Source organism: Homo sapiens, chromosome 12 (assembly GCF_000001405.40).
Source record: "Homo sapiens chromosome 12, GRCh38.p14 Primary Assembly".
In the NCBI taxonomy this organism is placed as follows: Eukaryota; Metazoa; Chordata; class Mammalia; order Primates; family Hominidae; genus Homo; species Homo sapiens.
The window spans coordinates 54,170,089-54,189,079 of record NC_000012.12 but is presented as its reverse complement, the minus strand read 5'-3'; the positions used below and the strand labels follow the sequence as shown (position 1 = coordinate 54,189,079).

Below are 18,991 nucleotides of genomic sequence, written 5' to 3'. Positions count from 1 at the left end.
GAAGTGGCTGCGGGTACGCCAATCTCCTTCCCTAAACAATGTAGACTACGACTCCCACTGTCCTTAGCGCCGGGGGTTGGGTTTGGGGTGGGGGAAAGGAACCGGAAACGGGATGGGGAGCTGGACCAGGTGAGGAAGTAGGGGGCTGGGAATCCGGGACTGTGGGGGCAAGTTGACGGCTCCCAGGGTCGTCGGGGCTGAGCCGAGAGGGTGGTTAGAATTTCTATATTTTGGGGTCCCTCCCTCCGTATGGGGTAAGACTCAGTGCAGGGAGAGCCCAGCCTATGAAACCGCCTGGGAGGTCTGCAGGATCAAGGCTTTCCAGTCGGCCGGAGCCAGCGGGCGCCCCCGGAGGTTTTGTATGGTGCCTTAGTAGTCGGCCCCTTTGGAACCAGATGAAATGGTCTTTTTGAGTTTATGCTTTATTATTATTATTGTTTATTTATTTATTTTTCTGAGACGGAATTTTGCTCTGAATTCCAGGCTGGAGTGCAATGGCGCGATCTCAGCTCACTGCAGCCTCCGCCTCCCGGGTTCAAGCGATTCTTCTGCCTCAGCCTCCCGAGTAGGTGGGATTACAGGCGCGCGCCACCATGCCCAGCTAATTTTTGTATTTAGTAGAGACTGGGTTTCACCATGTTGGTCAGGCTGGTCTCGAAGTCCTGACCTCGTGATCCGCCCGCCTCGGCCTCCCAAAGTGCTCGGATTACGGGTGTGAGCCACCGCGCCCGGCCTATGCATTATTATTATTATTATTATTATTATTATTATTATTATTATTATTTATTATTATTATTATTATTATTATTATTTCGTTTAAGGATATTTATTATTGTCCCTGGACTCCCGGAGTGCCTCCAAAGGACAGGGGAGTGCATATGTGATTTCGATTCCTTCCTCACTTCCCGGATTTGATGTCAGAGAAGTCTGACATCAGTCTGAAGTCGGCCCTTGGTGGTCAGCCTTATCGCTTGGTCCAACTCCGCTGTCTTTGTGCTTAATGTAGTATGACACCGTATTTTATAAAATATCTACATTTCTTAAGCCTCTGGCTCTTGGGGCGACTTTGGGTAGAACTTACAAGTTCCTCCTTTGGGTTCTCTTAGTGTTTTGTTCCGGGTATTAAAGCTCACATCACACTGTATTACAGTTAGTTGTTTATTTGCCCTCACAGCAGATTATGAGCTTACAGAAAGCCTGGCCTACATTTTACTCTTTTTGGATTTCTTCCTCATCAAGAGACTGCTGCAGTGCCTGTCATGTAAGAGACTCATAAGTATTGAAAAAAAAAATGAGTTAACAGGTGGTAGGTTGGATGGAGTATGTGATTTTCCATAGAGAAGAGAGTTAAATGAGTTGCTCAAGAGAACCTTCTTAGAGATGAAACAGGAGTAGAATTCAAATCAATTGACTTCCAGCCTGTGGCTCTTGCTATGAGATCAGGCTTTGAAGTTATGGAACAATGAAAGTAGTATCTTGCCACTCTTTTCCCCAGCCTTGCTGTTTCCAACACAGGTGTCTAAATGTCAAAGGTGGGCTCAAGACTTCTCGAGATTCTAGAGCTGGAGCAGCCAATCTGCTAATGTTGGTGTTGCATGGGGAGATGCAAAGCAAGGTCCCCTGAAACACTGGCGTTCTCCACAGCACCCTTCTCAGCTTTTGTATGAGCCCAGTTTGTCCTGGGTAGCCACCTGGACAACAGATCAGTTAAAGACTACTGAGACAGTCAGGGAAGGACTTCCTAAGTTGGGCCTCTGATTTCTTTTCTCTCCCACTTCCCCTAGGCTAGGGTGAGAAAATAGGTTTATCGAGCTGTTGTGTCAACCTTGAGTTCTTATCTTGGAGAAGTCACTCCTGACCCAGGCAGAAAGTTGAGAGGAAGGAATGACAATGGTCCTTGTCGCATGGGAGGCACACATATGATGGGCACAGACCCAGAGTCTGGAAAACAAGCAGAGTGCAAAGTGGGCAGCTAAGCCTTGAGTGAACTCAGGATATAGAAGTGGAGAAGGATCCATCAGGAGTGCCTCCTTGGTAAAAGCTGTTTATTTTATTTTTATATTTACAGATGGGGTCTCATTATGTCAGCCAGGCTGGTCTTGAACTCCTGGCCTCAAGCAATTCTTCTGCCTTGGCCTCTCAAAGTGCTGGGATTACAGGCATGAGCCACTGTGCCCAGCACAGAAGGTAGTTTTAAACAAAAGTGAAAAAGAAGATGGACATTGCTGAGCAGGTGTTTGTTGAGTACCTAATAAGGGCCAGGACCTTGGGCTTATGGAGGGAGATTGAACAAGGCCTGGCTCTTGATCTGCCCAAGTTTAGCTGGGGAGGCAAAAGGAATTCATTAAGACGACGGTAACCATGGTGACACACAGTGGTTCTCAGCCTTCACCAACCATCAGAATCACCCTGGGAAGCTTGTTTAAAATACAGATTCCCAGGCTGGGCACGGTAGCTCACGTTTGTAATCCCAGCACTTTGGGAGGCTGAGGCAGGCAGATCATGAGGTCAGGAGTTCGAGACCAGCCTGACCAACATGGTGAAACCCTGTCTCTACTGAAAATACGAAAATTAGCCGGGTGTGGTGCTGCGCACCTGTAATCCCAGTACCCAGGAGGCTAAGGTGGGAGAATCACTTGAACCCGGGAGGCAGAGGTTGCAGTGAGCTGAGATCGCGCCACTGCACTCCAGTCTGGGCGACAGAGCAAGATTCTGTCTCAAAAAAAAAACAAAACAAAACAAAACAAAAAACACAGATTCCCAGGCCTCACACGGGACCTACTTGTGTTGGGGGTGGGGTTGGGACACTATGGCAAATACTGCAGTGTTCTGAGGAGGGAAGACTTTATCAAAGGGATGGTTTGAGCTGCATTTTGAAGGATGGGAGTGATTTGGATATGTGGACAGGTTGGGGAATCAACAGTCCTAGTTGACTGGATGACTGCTGGATGATGTCCTGGTTGACTTCAGGAGTGTATTTGGTTGGACTGTAGAAATGGTATGTGCAAGGTTTTGGGAGTTGAGGCAGGAAAGGCATTTTGAAAATGTGAGTAGAATGGTCAGGTTGGAACACTGGGTTTGAATGGGAGTGGAGTGAAGCAATGGCCTTTGCAGTTTACAAAGCTTGCTGTCATGTTCCTGCCCCCTCCCTTCTCCTTCCTCCCACCTCCCTTCTCTCTTCCCTTTCTTCTTCCTCTCCCATTTCTTTTCTCCCTTCACCTAAACATAACATCTCATTCCATCCTTACGTCTGTTTGTTTGTTTTGAGACAGTCTCCCTCTGTAGCCCAGGCTGGAGTGCAGTGGCACAATCTCGGCTCACTGCAACCTCTGCCTCCCAGGTCCTGGTTCAAGCAATTCTCCTGCCTCAGCCTCCCATGTAGCTGGAATTACAGGCACGTGCCACCATGCCCAGCTAATTTTTGTATTTTTAGTTGAGACGGGGTTTCACCATGTTGGCCAGGTTGATCTTGAACTCCTGACCTCGTGATCCACCTGCCTCAGCCTCCCAAAGTACTGGGATTACAGGCATGAGCTGTTGCGCCCGGCAAATTTATTTATTTATTTATTTATTTATTTATTTATTTATTTATTTTTTATTTTATTTTTTTTTGAGATGGAGTCTTGCTCTTTTGCCCAGGCTTGAGTGCAGTGGCACGATCTTGGCTCACTGCAACCTCAGCCTCCCGGGTTCAGGCAGTTCTCCCTGCCTCAGCCTCCCGAGTAGCTGGGATTACAGGTGCCCACCACAACGCCCAGCTAATTTTTTTTTTTTGAGAGAGAGTTTCACTGTTGTTGCCCGTGCTGGAGTGCAATGGCACGATCTTGGCTCACCGCAACCTCCACCTTTCAGGTTCAAATGATTCTGCCTCAGCCTCCAGAGTAGCCGGGATTACAGGCACGTACCACCATGCCTGACTAATTTGTATTTTTAGTAGAGGTGGGAGTTTCTCCATTTTGGTCAGGCTGGTCTCGAACTCCCGACCTCAGGTGATCTGCCCACCTCAGCCTCCTAAAGTGCTGGGATTACAGGCTTGAGCCACCACGCCCAGCATGCCCAGCTAATTTTTGTAATTTTTAGTAGAGACGGGGTTTCGCCATGTTGGCCAGGCCAGTTTTGAACGCCTGACCTAAGGTGATTCAGCCGCCTTGGCCTCCCAAAGTGCTGGGATTACAGGCATGAGCCACCATGCCTGGCCTTCCTTATGTCAACATTATTAAGTGGATATTATTATTCTTTGTATTTGAAGGTGGAAACCTGAGGCTCTGGCCATGGTTGTGTAGCTCGTAAGATTCTATGAGGAGTCTGTAATCATCCTACTCGGTATTCCTGAGTGTGGGAAAGAAGCTAGGCTGGGGTTAGGGGGTTGTAGAATTAGCAGGGTGGCTGATCAAACCATCTAAGGCAAGATGGCGTGGGTGGTTAAAGCATAGCCTTGAGCCAGAGAGATTGGGCTCAACCAAATCCAGCTTTATTACTTACTAACTGTAAGACCTTGGGCAAGTTGCTTAATCTTGCTAAGCCTCAGTGTCCTCACTTATAACAGGGGAGCAGTAATACCCACCTCATGGGATTGTTGTGAGGATCAATGAGGTGTACCTGGTGCAGAGCAGTCGCTCACCACCTGGAAGCTATTGTAATTAGCCTTCCCAGGTCTCTGGGCTGTGGCTGTGCACTTGCATTTCATTCTTCAGCGCCGTGCTTTCCAGAACAGTCCATTCTGGCTGGGCTTTTCTTTTTTAGGATGACCTTAAAGGTGCTGAAAGGATGCCACCAGTAAATGTTTATTGAAAACCTACTATGTGCTCGGCATAGCCCAGGAACTAGTGACCTATGCCTGATGGAAAGGAGATTTGGAGTGGGAGATGTTTGGTGGCTATGGCTTATCCTCACCAGGTGCCATGTGAAGAGGACAGATAATGGAAGTGGGGAGGGAAAGGGCCCTTCATTACCAAGAACTGAGATGAGTTCAGTCCTACTTGGTGGTTGGTAGATGACTGACATGGTCTCTTAGGGTCCCTTCTGAGCCCAGGAAATGGTAGTGGGGGCCCTGGCAAGCATGGATCCCTCCTACTCTGTGGCTGAGGGTTGATGGGGCTTCTGTCCATCTCTTTTCCCAGGTGACAGCGGCATGGACATATGCCCCAGGCTTTCCTGCTGGGGTCCATCCATGAGCCTGCAGGTGCCCTCATGGAGCCCCAGCCCTGCCCTGGAAGCTTGGCTGAGAGCTTCCTGGAGGAGGAGCTTCGGCTCAATGCTGAGCTGAGCCAGCTGCAGTTTTCGGAGCCTGTGGGCATCATCTACAATCCCGTGGAGTATGCATGGGAGCCACATCGCAACTACGTGACTCGCTACTGCCAGGGCCCCAAGGAAGTACTCTTCCTGGGCATGAACCCTGGACCTTTTGGCATGGCCCAGACTGGGGTAAAGGGTTTGGCTTCCCCAGTGGGTGGAGTGGGGGGTTCTAGGTGGATGCTTGGCTGGGTGTGCTGTGGAGAAGGAGCATGTGCATGGCTGTAGACATGTGTAGGTCCTCCCGCCCCATTCTGTCTCAACACATATACTGGCTCCTGTGGTCCGAGGCCCTCTCCCAGCGTCTCTGCCCGTAATTAACCAAGCACATTAATGGTAGTTTCGTTTTCCCTGTGAGCTGGCCAGTAATTGCCTCTGAGAGCCCTTCCTTCCGCCAGCCCCATCCTTACTTTACTGGATCTCCCCTGTCCCTGAAGTGTGGTTGGGGTCAGAAGAGGGACTAGGACTGCTGGGTCCTCAGAAGAGACTGGTTGACAGGGGTGGGTATGTAAGAGATGCAGGGCGTTCTGGGAACCTGGGTTCTGTTTCCTAGCTAAGGCGAGGTTCAAAACAGAGCCTGGCTCCAGTGCCTGCCCGCTTTTCTTTCAGGGCTCAGGATGAGTGACTGCCCCCAGTGGGGGTGCTTGGCAGGTGGGGGAGGGGAAGAGGCTTCAGGGCAGAAGGCTCAATCGCTTTTATTGACCCCAACTGGGTGATGAAAGGTGATCAATGATGATCGATGGAAATGACAGCCTGAGGCTTGGGGCTGAGAGGGCATCCAGACAGCAGTGGTCAGCCCATCCTTGTGCCTCCTTTAACCCTGGCTGCCTTTCTGTCTCAGACCATCTGTCTGTCCCCAGTACTAACCATCAAACCCTGTGTAGGGCTAGATATCTCAATGTAGTCCCTGTACTTAGTCCCAAAGGCTAGTTGGGCTAGAGGGAAACAAATTCTTCTGGACCACGGTTCACAATGAAGAACTGGAAAAAGACAGACAGGCTCAAACCATAGGGCCAAGAATCCTTGTCTCAGGCCTTTGGGTGAAGGTAGGGGTAGGGGGTGCAGGCTGGATCCTCATGTAAGGTATAAAGAAGTCAGTTGGTCCAGAGCCCGGGCCTCAGGTCTCCAGTTTGAAGCCTTTCATGTCTCTCTCCTTCCTCACAGGTGCCCTTTGGGGAAGTAAGCATGGTCCGGGACTGGTTGGGCATTGTGGGGCCTGTGCTGACCCCTCCCCAAGAGCATCCTAAACGACCAGTGCTGGGACTGGAGTGCCCACAGTCAGAAGTGAGTGGTGCCCGATTCTGGGGCTTTTTCCGGAACCTCTGTGGACAGCCTGAGGTCTTCTTCCATCACTGTTTTGTCCACAATCTATGCCCTCTGCTTTTCCTGGCTCCCAGCGGGCGCAACCTTACTCCTGCTGAGCTGCCTGCCAAGCAGCGAGAACAGCTTCTTGGGATCTGTGATGCAGCCCTCTGCCGGCAGGTGCAGCTGCTGGGGGTGCGGCTGGTGGTGGGAGTTGGGCGACTGGCAGAGCAGCGGGCACGACGGGCTCTGGCAGGCCTGATGCCAGAGGTCCAGGTGGAAGGGCTCCTGCATCCCTCTCCCCGTAACCCACAGGCCAACAAGGGCTGGGAGGCAGTGGCCAAGGAAAGATTGAATGAGCTGGGGCTGCTGCCACTGCTGTTGAAATGAGTGCCCTTGGGGCCTTGCATGGGACACATTCAAGACCTCGAAGTCATTCTTGGCCAAGCAGATGACAACACATCTCCTGGACTGGAGCAAAAGGTCCTTCTGTGCACCCTGGTCGCTGGGAAACGTATTCTTTGATCTGTTGAACTGTCTTCCAACCTGCCATGGCAGTTTTGACACTACTCCTGTTTGCCCTCCTGATTCCTGCTTTCTTTACCTTTTAACATTGCCCCTTTCAGGGGACCCCACTTTGTAGGGAATCTGCAGAAGGTGTGCTTTTGCACTTGCAGACTGCTCTACCTCAGTGTTTCCTTGGGAGACTTTATTCAGCTGAGAGTGCCCTAGACAGTAACTTCTAAGGTCACGTTTACTATTTCAGAGGAAATATCTTGCCAGGATACCTACCCATCCTTATAGAACAGTTACCTTTAGCTGACCCCTTTCCTCACAGGGACCAAGACAAAGCATGGGACATGAAATTAAGAGTGAACTTCTTATGGGAGGCTGCAGCTGGATCAGAGGAAAAATCCAGTGTGACAGAGTGCAAGTCAGAAGACCTGGCTTTTCATCCCAGCTTTGAAACTTGGAACTTTTTGATTGACAAATTAATAAACCTCTCTATGCCTCAGGCTCCTCATCTGTAAAACAGGGATGCCTACCTTATGGGGTTGGTGTGAGGATTAACTGAGATCACACTTGAAAGTGCCTTGCATGGGCTTGGCATGTGGGTGCTCATTACATAGTCTTCTTGTTTTCTTGCCTCTGGGTTGAGGATTCACAGCACTGCACTACAAGGGTAGCCCCTCTCCATTCTGGATACCTTGCTAGGAGAGAGTCTGGGCTTCCACCTGCGGCCAGGGTGAAGGGAAAATTCTTGCCATGTCAGAGATGGATCAATGACTATGAAAAAACTAGCCTGTGATTTTTTTTCACTCTAAGCATTAAGAGCTCCTAAAGCCTTTTGTCTTGTTACTTTTTTCCCCCTCTTGCATGCTAGAGGTGGAAGGTAGTCATTTAGATTTCCCCCCTCTTCCCTCTTCATTGTTGGCCAGGGGTTCTCTTGGGCAGCTGGGGGAAGGATGTAGTAGATCTCTCTTTTTTTTTTTTTTTTGAGATGGAGTCTCATGCTGTTGCCCAGGCTGGAGTGCAGTGGCATGGTCTCAGTTCACTGCAACATCTGCTTTCCCGGTTCAAGTGATTCTCCTGCCTCAGCCTCCTGTATAGCTGGAATTACAGGCATGTGCCACCACGCCTGGCTAATTTTTGTATTTTTATTAAAGACAGTGTTTCACCATGTTGGCCAGGCTGGTCTCAAACTCCTGACTTCAAGTAATCCACCTGTCTTGGCCTCCCAAAGTGCTGCTGCCTGGCTGGATGTAGCAGATCTCCAATTGCCTTACCAAACCTGCAGGGTCTCTGTTAAGTGTCTGTTAGGGGTCTTATATGATACTCTGGACACCGTGAGAAACAGGTGATGGGGCAGATGGGAACCTGGTATCCAACTCATTTTTTATGTCTGCTGAATGGTTGACTGGGTGCCCCTTTGGTAAGGGCTGGGAAAGTGAACCAAGTTGGGAGCAGAGCAGGTCTTGAGACCACCTTAATGAGGAACACATGGTCTACTTCCTATCTCCTGGGACACAGGTCATTTCCAGCTTCCAGAATTAGTAAGATTTTTCATATAAATCCTCCCCTACTTCATTGTATAATAAAGAATTTGGCCTTTGTCTTCAGTTCCTGAGAAGGAGACTCTAAATCCTTGGAATTTCCCAAGTAATAGGAGTATCTTTGTTTTTCGTGGCAGGTCCCTGAAACTACACCTGAATTTATGTTGAGATTTGACCTTAGGCTGCACCTAATTTTATATTGAATTTGATCTCAGACCACACCTGAGTTTGCTGTAAGATTTGACTGAGGATGGAGGCTGACCATGCCAGAATGACCAACCATATAGTTACAGGGCTGGGACTTTGAGCTGGATGATACCAGCTTGATCCCCAGGGAGGGGAGAGGGGCTAGAGATTGAGTTCAGCCACATGCCGATGATTTTAACCAATTATATCTATGGTAAAACTCTAGATATAAAAACTTCTGACACAGGTTTTGGTCAGCTTCCTGGCTGGTGAACACATGGATGTGCTGAGGGATGTGCATTGGTATCCTGTTTCTATGAGCAGAGGGCACACATCTGTGCCTGGGACACTCCTGGACCCTACCATATATTTGTCTTCATTTGGCTGGTTCTGATTTGTATCTTTTGTAATAGAACCATAATCATAAGTATAGAGTTTTCCTGAGTTCCGTGAGTCATTCTAGGAAATTCTCCAACCTCAGGGTGGGTGGCGGGGGGTTGTGGAGACTCCTGAATTTATAGCCAGTTGGTCAGAAGTGCAGGTGGTCTGGGGATCCTCAAGCTCGCAACTGACATCTGAAGTGAGAGCAGTCTTGGTGGGGAGTATGCCCTTAAACCCCGAGGGTATGCACTAACTCCCTGTAGTTAGCATCAGAATTGCATTACAGTATTGAACTTCCACATGCCATAGACTCCTTTCCTTCTCTTTTTGCTGTCAGTGCTACGTAGTGAGTGCGCCATGTTGCAGAGCACTGGATTAGGTACAGTGGAATAACTGCACAGAGATAGAAGCCATCATTTCATTATATATTTAGCTGAGGAAATATATAATGGAAAGCTCTCTGGAGGAGGTGGCATTTCAGGTGGCCTTAAGACTGGGAAAGTTTTGGATAACTTAGAGAACAGCACTGTTATGTTCAAGGGGTGGCAAGTTGTATTAGGGTCTAGAGAGACAGAACTAATGATACATGTATATATGAAAAGGAGTTTATTCAGGATAATTGACTCACACGATCACAGGGCGAAGTCCCACAATAGGCTGTCTGCAAGTTGAGCAAGGAAGCCAGTAGTGGCTCAGTCCGAGTCCCAAATCCTCAAAAGTAGGGAAGCCGACAGGGCAGCCTTCTGTCTGTGGCCTAAGTCCCAAGAGCCCCTGGCAAACTACTGGTGTAAGTCCAAGAGTCCAAAAGCTGAAGAACTTAAGAGTCTAATGTGTGAGGGCAGGAAGCATCCAGCATGGGAGAAAGATGAGGACTGGAAGACTCAGCAAGTCAGCTTCTTTCACCTTTTTCTGCCCGCTTTTTCTAGCCGCCCTAGCAGCCAGTTGGATGGTGCCCACCCACATTCTGGGTGGGTTTTCCTGTGGGTGGGTCTTCCTCTCCCAGTCTACTAACTCAAATGTTAATCTCTTCTGCTAATACCCAGAAACAGTACTTTGCATCCATTAATCAAGTTGACAGTTAATATTTACCAACACACAAGTAGATTCCTATTGGCTTGGCCCAGTTTGGAGAAAAAGATGAAGAGGTAGATTGAAGCTAGCCTGTGAAGGGTCTTGAATGCTAGAATAATCTTTGAGAATTTAAAGTGTAGTGGGGGAAGTGAGATGCACAGAACACACACACTGAAAATACCCAACAATAGGTGGAAACCCATAGAAGGAGATGAAGGGGCAAACCATGTAGGAGGCAGTGTGGGTGCAGTGGGGAAAGGGATGGGAAGAGAGGGGATGAGTCTATAGGGAGGACATCTAGGGGCATAGCAGGTCTGGTTGAAAGCCTAGAGTTGGGGTCTCTAGGTGATGAGATAGTGGGATAGGATTGGGTAATACACAGAGGCACTTGAACAGTAGTGACCAGAATGACTTGAAGGCCTGGGTATGGCAGAGTCGCTGCTGGGTCTGGGTCCTAGTGGGGCTGTTGCTTTCAATTCCTGGGGTGCATCTTGTCGGAGAGGTTGATTAAGGTCCTGGGCCTGCCTTTCCCTAAGGACACTGTATTACACTGCTAGGGCTGCCATGACAAAACTACCACAGACTGGGTGGATTAAAACAACAGAAATTTCTGACACTTCTGGAGCCCGTTAAGTCCAGGATCAAGATGGTTTGATCTTTCCTGAGGCCTCTCCTTAGCTTGCAGATAGCTGCCTTCTTGCTGTGTCCTCCCATAGCCTTTTCTGAGCATGTACCTCCCTGGTGTTTCTCTTCTTGGAAGGATACCAGTTGTACTGGATTAGGTCCCCCCTTATTACCCAATTTAACCTTAGGTGCCTCTTTAAATGCCCTATATCCAATATAGTCATATTGGGGCTTCAACATACAAATCGGCAGGGGGGCATAATTCAGTCTATAACAGGCACACAAAGTCATGTCACTGCTTTTTTTGTCCCCAACCAATGTCAACCATAAACAAACTAGGGTACTTAGGAGTGCCTTTTTTCCAGTCTGGAGGATTGGAAGCTGGTCTAGGGGCTTAGGTAGCTGATCAGACTTAGTCTCATCAGACTGGCTTTTACCCTTCATTCTAGAGCAGTTTCTTCAGTGCAAATGAGAGTGTCCTTAGGGAAAGGAAAGTCATTGTTTTTTTTTTTTCTCTGAGTGGTAGAGAATGGAGCCTTTAGTTGCTATAAAACAGCATTGTGAGAATTATTCTAAAGCCAAACTGAAATAATTTGGTGTCATCTAGACTTTTGTAGACCAATACAGTAGCCACTAGCCATGTGTGGCTGTTTTAGTTCAAAGTGATTAAGGAAAAAAATTCAATTCTTCAGTTCATATTTCAAGTGCTCAATAGCCACACATGGCTAGTGACTACTGATTGGATGACACAGAAATTGAACATTTCCATTATCACAGAAATTTGTGTTAGACAACACTGATCTAGAGATCAGTGGCTTACAACCCTGCCAGTGAATCCGAATTAACCGGTGGAGGTTTAAAAAAACAAGTGTCTCAGCTCCACTTAAGATATTTTGATTTGTGAGGTGCGAGGGGCATCCTGCTATCCGTCTTCAACAGAATCTCTCCATGCTACCAATATGCAGCCAAGGTTCAGGCAGGAGTGTCCTGAGTGTCTTGAAGGCAAAGGCCAGGGTCTCCTTTTTCTTTTCCCAGTATGTAATCCCACACCTGGCACAAAGTAGGTATTCAGAGCAGACATGGAAGTAATGCATGAATCTGGTCTGGGAAAGCTACCCGTGTGCCATCCAGAAACACTAGTTTCTCTAGAGTTTGTTCTTTTTGCCTAGTGATGGTATTTCAAGTTCTGATTCAGAGGAATGATGGAGGTCCCACCCCAAAACACACAAACTCAACTTGGTGGAGACCAAGGGTGTGCTTGGGGTGGGGATGCTTCTGAGCTTCTGAGGGATAGATTGTGTTGGTGAAGAAAGAGAATTTTCTTACCTCTTTTTTTTTTTTTTTTTTTAGTTTTTATTTTTTTGACACGGAGTCTTGCTCTGTCGCCCAGGCTGGAGTGCAGTGGCGCGATCTCGGCTCACTGCAAGCTCCGCTTCCCGGGTTCACGCCATTCTCCTGCCTCAGCCTCCTGAGTAGCTGGGACTACAGGCGCCCGCTACCACGCCCGGCTAATTTTTTTGTATTTTTAGTAGAGACGGGGTTTCACCGTGTTAGCCAGGATGGTCTTAATCTCCTGACCTTGTGATCCGCCCGTCTCGGCCTCCCAAAGTGCTGGGATCACAGGCATGAGCCACCGTGCCCGGCCTTTTTTTTTGGGGGGGGACAGGATCTTCTTCTCTTTCCCAGGCTGGAGTGCAGTGGCATGATCATGGCTCACTGCAGCCTTGACTTCCTGGGCTCAGGTGTCCTCCCACCTCAGCCTCCCGAGTAGCTGGGACTATAGGCATGCACCACCACACCTGGCTAATTTTTTGTAGAGACGGGGTTTCACTATGTTGCCCAGGCTGGTCTCTATCTCCTGAACTCAAGCAATCCTCCCACCTTAGCCTCCTAAAGTGCTGGGATTACAGGCATGAGGCACCATGCCCAGCCTTTTTTTTTTTTAGATGGAGTTTTGCTCTTGTTTCCCAGGTTGGAGTGCAATGGTGTGATCTTGGCTCACCACAACTTCTGCCTCCCGGGTTCAAGCGATTCTCCTGCCTCAGCCTCCTGAGTAGCTGGGATTACAGGCATGTGCCAACATGCCTGGCTAATTTTGTATTTTTAGTAGAGATGGGGTTTTTCCATGTTGGTCAGGCCGGTCTTGAACTCCTGACCTCAGGTGATGTGCCTGCCTTGGCCTCCCAAAGTGCTGGGATTACAGGCGTGAGCCACTGTGCCTGGCCCCGGCCTTTTATCTCTGTCTTTTTTTTTCTCCCTTACTGATACAGGATAGCTTAAAGAAAATTGGGTCTTGAATTTGGCCACTGTGTGGTCTCACTTTCCTTTTTCAATTCAATAAACATTTATTGATGTCTGCTGTGTGTGTGTCATTCCTTGTGCTAGGCACTGTAGGGAGTGACGGAGGTGAATTAGATGATTCTTTACCCTCACGTTGTTCACTGTCTAGTGCTGGGAGATACAGGCATATAATTATATATAAATCAAGCTGAAAGCATGTTGTGAACAAGTTATAAACACAGCGCTCTGGGCACACTGAATGAGGAAGTGATTAGCCCTCAGAGTCTGGGGAGGAGGTGTGTGTGCCTGTGAGAGAGGGCGGAGACTGGGAGATTTCTTATCTCATAACTTGCTAAATCTTACCACCTCCATGGAGTGGATATTTGCAAAACGGGACCATTGTGTCAGATATGTCCAGGAATTTCTCAGCCCCAACTGCAAGGGGCTAGGAAACAGGATGAGGGGAGGGGCTCAGAGGCCAGGAATTAGGCAAGAGCCAAGGGTTGGGTGTGGCCCTATGGAAGATGAGAAGTGGAGCTTCCTTTCAGAACACATCTGTTAACTTTGGGGATGGAAAACTGCAGCAGATGGTGGCAGGCAATGTCCAGGTAGCAGATCAAAAAAGACTGGAAATGCAGCCTGGCCACAGCTGGGGTAGAGAAGCTAGTGATGGAATGGAAGAAGGGAATAGAGATTGCAGCCTATCCCAGACTAAGTGTTGACTCTGAATATTCTTGTTTAGGAGGATATAGGGCAGCTGTTTCCTCTTCTTCCCTGGTGCCCCAGAGAAGTAAAGAACTTCAACTGGAGCATGAGACATTGAGGTTAGACACATGGATAAACTTCCCAGCTGTGACCATCAGGTGATATAGAAATAAATTACTTTGGGGGAAGATGAATTGCTTTCTTCTTCAGAGACCTTAATGCCAGCCTGGCTCAAGCCCATGCTCACCAGTCAAGGTTGAATTATAATGTATTTGAGGAAACTTTCTTTTTTTCTCTCCCTCCTTATTTTGGCCCTCACCCTCTCAAGTACAAAACAGAACAAACAAAACACCTGCAAAAGAATTTTCCTGTACATCTTGTCCATTCTTCTGCCCCTACATCTCATTCAAGGACCCTCAGCCTGATGTCTGTCTCTAGTCCTGGCTTGCAGGAGGGATGGCTGAGAGCCCAGAACAGTCCTCCATGGTGGCCTGTGCCAAGCCAGGTTGCCATTTCCATTTTCATTAATTGAAGCAGCTTGACCCTGATCTTTTCAGGCCAGCAATTTCCTGTCCGCTGGTTAGGAGTATGTGGAGGACATGTTTTTGCAGGTCATTCTGTCCTTCCATCTACCTGGATGGTGCTAACACCTGATTCAGGCAGCAAAAAAGGGTCTCCTGTCAACAGTTGACTGAGAGAATCCCAACTTCACACAAATGCCCAGCCTCTCCTCTTGGGATCTCACACTTTGTCTTCTTCAGAAGCTCTTTCTGGTATCTACCCTCCAGCCTATCTGCTGTAATTTGGGTTGTTTTTTTGTTCAGTTTTTAGAAACCTGCTGACTTATAGCTCCCTCTCAGAACCTCATGTGATGATACTTCTGTGGCTTGGGAGAAGAACAAAATGTCTTTGAAGGAAGGGGTTTGCCTTCAACCCTGGAAGGCCACACAGCTGAGTGATTGGGGTGTGATGACTTTGCTCTGAGCATGAGTGTGGATGTGTTTTGCTCCTTACCTGGCTGTATGGAAGGTCTGTGTGTCCCCTGTGAATCACTGAGTTAGCATCATTTTGTTCCTGTGTTTGGTAGCGCTGCTTTGCAAGTACCGTTTTAAGGGGTAGGGTAGTGTGTTCCCCTAGAGTGGGAGTCCACTGTATTACATGCATTTGTGTCCTCCTGTGATCATGGGATCTTTTTTGTCTCTGCAGTTTTCAGTCTTCCAGATGGACACTAGTGTAATTGAGTGTGACCCATTTTTGCTGCTGTTGTGTCTTTGTGTGTCTGGTATTTTTGTGTAGCCTCTGTGTTTGGGGCATCTTCGGGGGGCTTGTCGTGTCTTTCTGAGTGTCCTCTGGCTCTGTTTGGGCGGGGGAACAGAAGAAGGAGCCCAGACTCGAAGGGGAGCTGTCTGGGTGGGGGGAGCGTTTTGGGAGGGGGCGTGCTGCAATCTGTGACTTGGAAAACAGATTTGCAGAGGAGGCGAGCAGCCCGGGCGTGCGGAGCGTGCGGGGCGGGGGCGGGCGGCCGCTCTGGCCCCCAGCTCCTCCGCAATCCAATTAAATAACATTTAAATGCATAACCAGCCCGCGCGGCGATGAGGCTGGAGATTGGAGCGGGCTCGGCGGCGGGCCGCGCGGGCGGCGTTTTGTGGAGCTCAGCGATTCTGGCGGTAATTTCCCCGCTCGACGCGGCTTTTACGAGCCAGCTCCCGGCGCCGCGCCCGCTCTGCTGCGCCCGCCCCGCTCCCGGCCGCTTCCCGCCACTCCCCGCCTCGACACTTTTTTCTCCCTCGCCCTCTCTGCAGCCTTCTGGTCTGTCCGCGTGCGTGTCTCTCGCTCTGGTCTCTGTTTCTCCATCTCTTGGGGTGCATGCACCTCGCCCTAACCTCCCTCTCCAGCTGCTCCCGCGTCTCACGATGCCTCTCCCGTTTGCTCTCTCGCTGGGTGTCTGCCTCTCCCTTGCGCTGCCTGTCTGTGGCTTCTGCCATCTGTCAGCTTTTGCTTTTCTCGCTGCTGTTTCTGCCTCTGACTTTGACCCCTTGTTCTGGCCGATGCTGCCTCCACTTCTCTCTGTATCACCGTATCATCACAGCTTCTGGCTGTCTTTGCTCCCGTCTTCTTGTCTCTGGCCTTCTGCATCCTTCCACCTTCAAACCCTTCCCTTCAAGCCGCCTTGCCTTCTCCCCATGACTTAGAGACCCCACCACACCAGGCTGTCCGCTGAGTCCTCAGCCTTTCTCCACCTGTGTGCCCGTGGGGAAGGCCTGCAGACTGGGAACAGCTAGAAAGGGCCGAGGAGGAAAGGAAGGGAAGCTAAGTTAAGAAGAGTGGGAGCAGGTGGTGGGCTTACCCTGGCTGGGCCTAGGCCCAGCGGGAGACGGGAGGAATACATATGTGGTGAGTGGATGACTGGAAGAGACCCATTCTTCCCTACATCCTTTAGGAGCAGAGCAGGGAGGACCACCACATTCGGGGTCAGGGGAGTGGTTCCTTTTTGGGAGGTCTGCAGGAGCACCAGAGAGATGTGATTCCTTCAGGGCTTCAGGATCTTTTGAGGTTAGGATGCAGATGGGTATTTTCTGAAGAACTAGAGTGGGGCACGTCCCCCCTGCCCCGCAGGAGACCCCCCACCTGAGCTCCTGAAGCCAGGTACCTGAGGAAGACAGAGGAAGCAAGGCGGGCATTTTGTTTCTTGTGCGGGACCTGACTCCATTGTTTCCTCTTCAGTTCACTCCCTTTCTTATCCCTGCTCAGGCGCCCCAACATATGGAGCTGCAGTTTAGCAGATGCTACGTGGCATACAGATTTCCGGGTAAGAGTTTCCCGGCTAAGAGAACAGCGAGGGCAAAAGCCCTCATGTGAGCATGTCTGGTGTGTTGGAAGAACAGCAATGAGGCTGATATGGCTGAAGCAGAGAAAATCAGGGAAGAGAATAAGTGATGAGATCTAAGAGGTGATGGGGAGCCACATCACGTAGAAACTAATAAGTTACAGTAAAACTCACACTCCGAGTAACATGGGAAGTCACTGCAGGGTTTCAAGCAAGGGAGTGACATGATCTGCCTTGTCTTTTTACAGAAAATTCTTGCTGCTGTATTGAGAACAGATTGAGAAAACAAGGGCAGAAGCAGGGAGACCAGTCAGGAGCTGATTGCAGTATCAGGTAAGAGGGGATGAGGGCCAGGACCAGGGAGATGGCAGCAGAGGTGATGAGGAGTGGTCAAATTTTTGATACATTTTGCAGGGAGAGCCAAGGGATTAGTGAGAGCGTATGAAAGAAAGAGGAGTAGAGGATAAGACCAAGATTTTTTGGCCCGAGTGACCACAGCAATGGATTTGCCATCAACTGATATGGGGAAATACCACAGGAGGAGCTGGTTTTGGGAGTAGTATTAGTTGTGGACATGTTAGCTTTGAGATACCTGTTAAGCATCCAGGTAGAGGAGGCTAGCAGGTAAATCAATACACAAGTCTATAGCTTTTTTTTTTTTTTTTTTTTTTGAGACAAGACTCTAGCTCTGTTGCCAGGCTGGAGTGCAGTGGCATGATCTCAGCTCACTGCAACCTCCGCCTCCCAGGTTCAAGCAATTCTGCCTCAGCCTCCGGACTAGCTGGGATTACAGGCACGCGCTGCCACGTCCAGCTAATTTTTGTATTTTTAGTAGAGACGGGGTTTCACCATGTTGGCCAGGATAGTCTCATTTTCCTGACCTCGTGATCTGCCCACCTTGGCCTCCCAAAGTGCTGGGATTACAAGTGTGAGCCACCGCGCCCGACCACAAGTCTATAGTTTAATGGTGAAGTCCAGACTGGAGATAGAAATTTGGGAGTAATCAGTGACACTGGATGAGATCCCCTAAAGAGTGAAAGCTGATAGAAAGTGAAGGTGGCCAGGCGTGGTGGCTCACACCTGTAATCCCAGCACTTTGGGAGGCCGAGGTGGGCCGATCACCTGAGGTCAGGAGTTCAAGACCATCCTGGCCAACATGCGAAACTCCATCTCTACTGAAAAATACAAAAATTAGCCAGATGTGGTGGCGGACGCCTGTGATCCCAGCTACTTGGGATGCTGAGGCAGGGAGAAATGTTTGAACCTGGGAGGCGGAGGTTGCAGCAGTGAGCCAAGATCACGACTCTGCACTCCAGCATGGGTGACAGAATGACACTTCGTCTCAAAAAAAAAAAAAAGAAAGAAAGAAAGTGAAGGGCATCCAATGACAGAGTCTAGGCGCCGCAATATTTAGAAGTTGTAGAGGTGCATTTATCTGTCATGGGATTAAGAAACAAAAGGGGCCAGGTGCAGTGGCTCACACCTGTAATCCCAGCACTTTGGGAGGCTGAAGTGGAAGGATCACTTGAGCCCAGGACTTCGAGACCAGCCTGTGCAACATAGTGAGACCTCTGTCTCTACAAAAAATAAAAAGTTAGCTGAGTGTGGTGGCACGCACCTGTAGTCCCAGCTACTCAGGAGGCTGAGGTGGGAGGATTGCTTGTGCCTGGGAGATTGAGGCTGCAGTGAACCATGATTGTGTCATTGCACACCAGCCTGAGTGACAGAGTGAGACTGTCTCACAAAAAAAACAAAAACTAAAAAAAGTTGTGGAGGTACAAAAAAAAAATGCTGAGACATCTCAGGGAGGAGGCTTTAGGGAAGAGGTGCGGGGCTCTTGGCTTGATCATTCTTTTTCATTCCCAGCTGCCCTGGTGGCCAGGCCCTCATTGGCCCATATCTAGATGGTCCCAGTCCACTCTCTGGGCCACTGCTTCATTCCCCTCCAAACACCACACAACAGCCACACTGACCACTTCATGCCATGCTTGCTCAAGAACCTACAGGGACTCCTGAAGCTCAGCATTATGGTCCCAGAGCTAGGGAAAGAGAGCTGCGGCTAGATGGGACCTGAAACTCTTAGTTCACCTTTACTGCTTTGCCGCTAGGGAAACTGAGAAACAGTGAGCTTCTCTTTTTGTCTTTTTTTTTTTTTTTTTAAGACAGAGTTTCGCTCTTGTTGCCCAGGCTGAAGTGCAATGGCGCGATCTCGCCGGACCGCAAACTCTGCCTCCCAGGTTCAAGTGATTCTCCTGCCCCAGCCTCCCGA

General features: G+C 49.3%; 1 protein-coding gene across 62 annotated transcripts in view; it reads left to right on the top strand.

Annotated features, from left to right (window-relative positions):
* Window positions 95-18,991, top strand: part of SMUG1 (single-strand-selective monofunctional uracil-DNA glycosylase 1) — a 30,751-nt gene continuing 11,854 nt past the window's right edge. Inside the window, exons 1-7 of one of the 62 annotated variants that reach the window (XM_047428652.1) lie at window positions 95-359; window positions 484-565; window positions 1,175-1,261; window positions 2,069-2,187; window positions 5,121-5,424; window positions 6,457-6,576; window positions 7,433-8,714. In XM_047428652.1, the coding sequence (XP_047284608.1) occupies window positions 5,140-5,424; window positions 6,457-6,576; window positions 7,433-7,561 (534 nt within the window). In that variant the 5' untranslated portion in view covers window positions 95-359; window positions 484-565; window positions 1,175-1,261; window positions 2,069-2,187; window positions 5,121-5,139 and the 3' untranslated portion in view covers window positions 7,562-8,714. Of the gene's footprint in view, window positions 1,262-1,784; window positions 2,035-2,068; window positions 2,188-5,120; window positions 5,425-6,456; window positions 8,715-16,970; window positions 17,056-18,991 lie in introns of those variants that run through there. The other 61 variants (XM_047428651.1, NM_001351240.2, XM_047428654.1 and 58 more) reach the window with 61 other exon arrangements.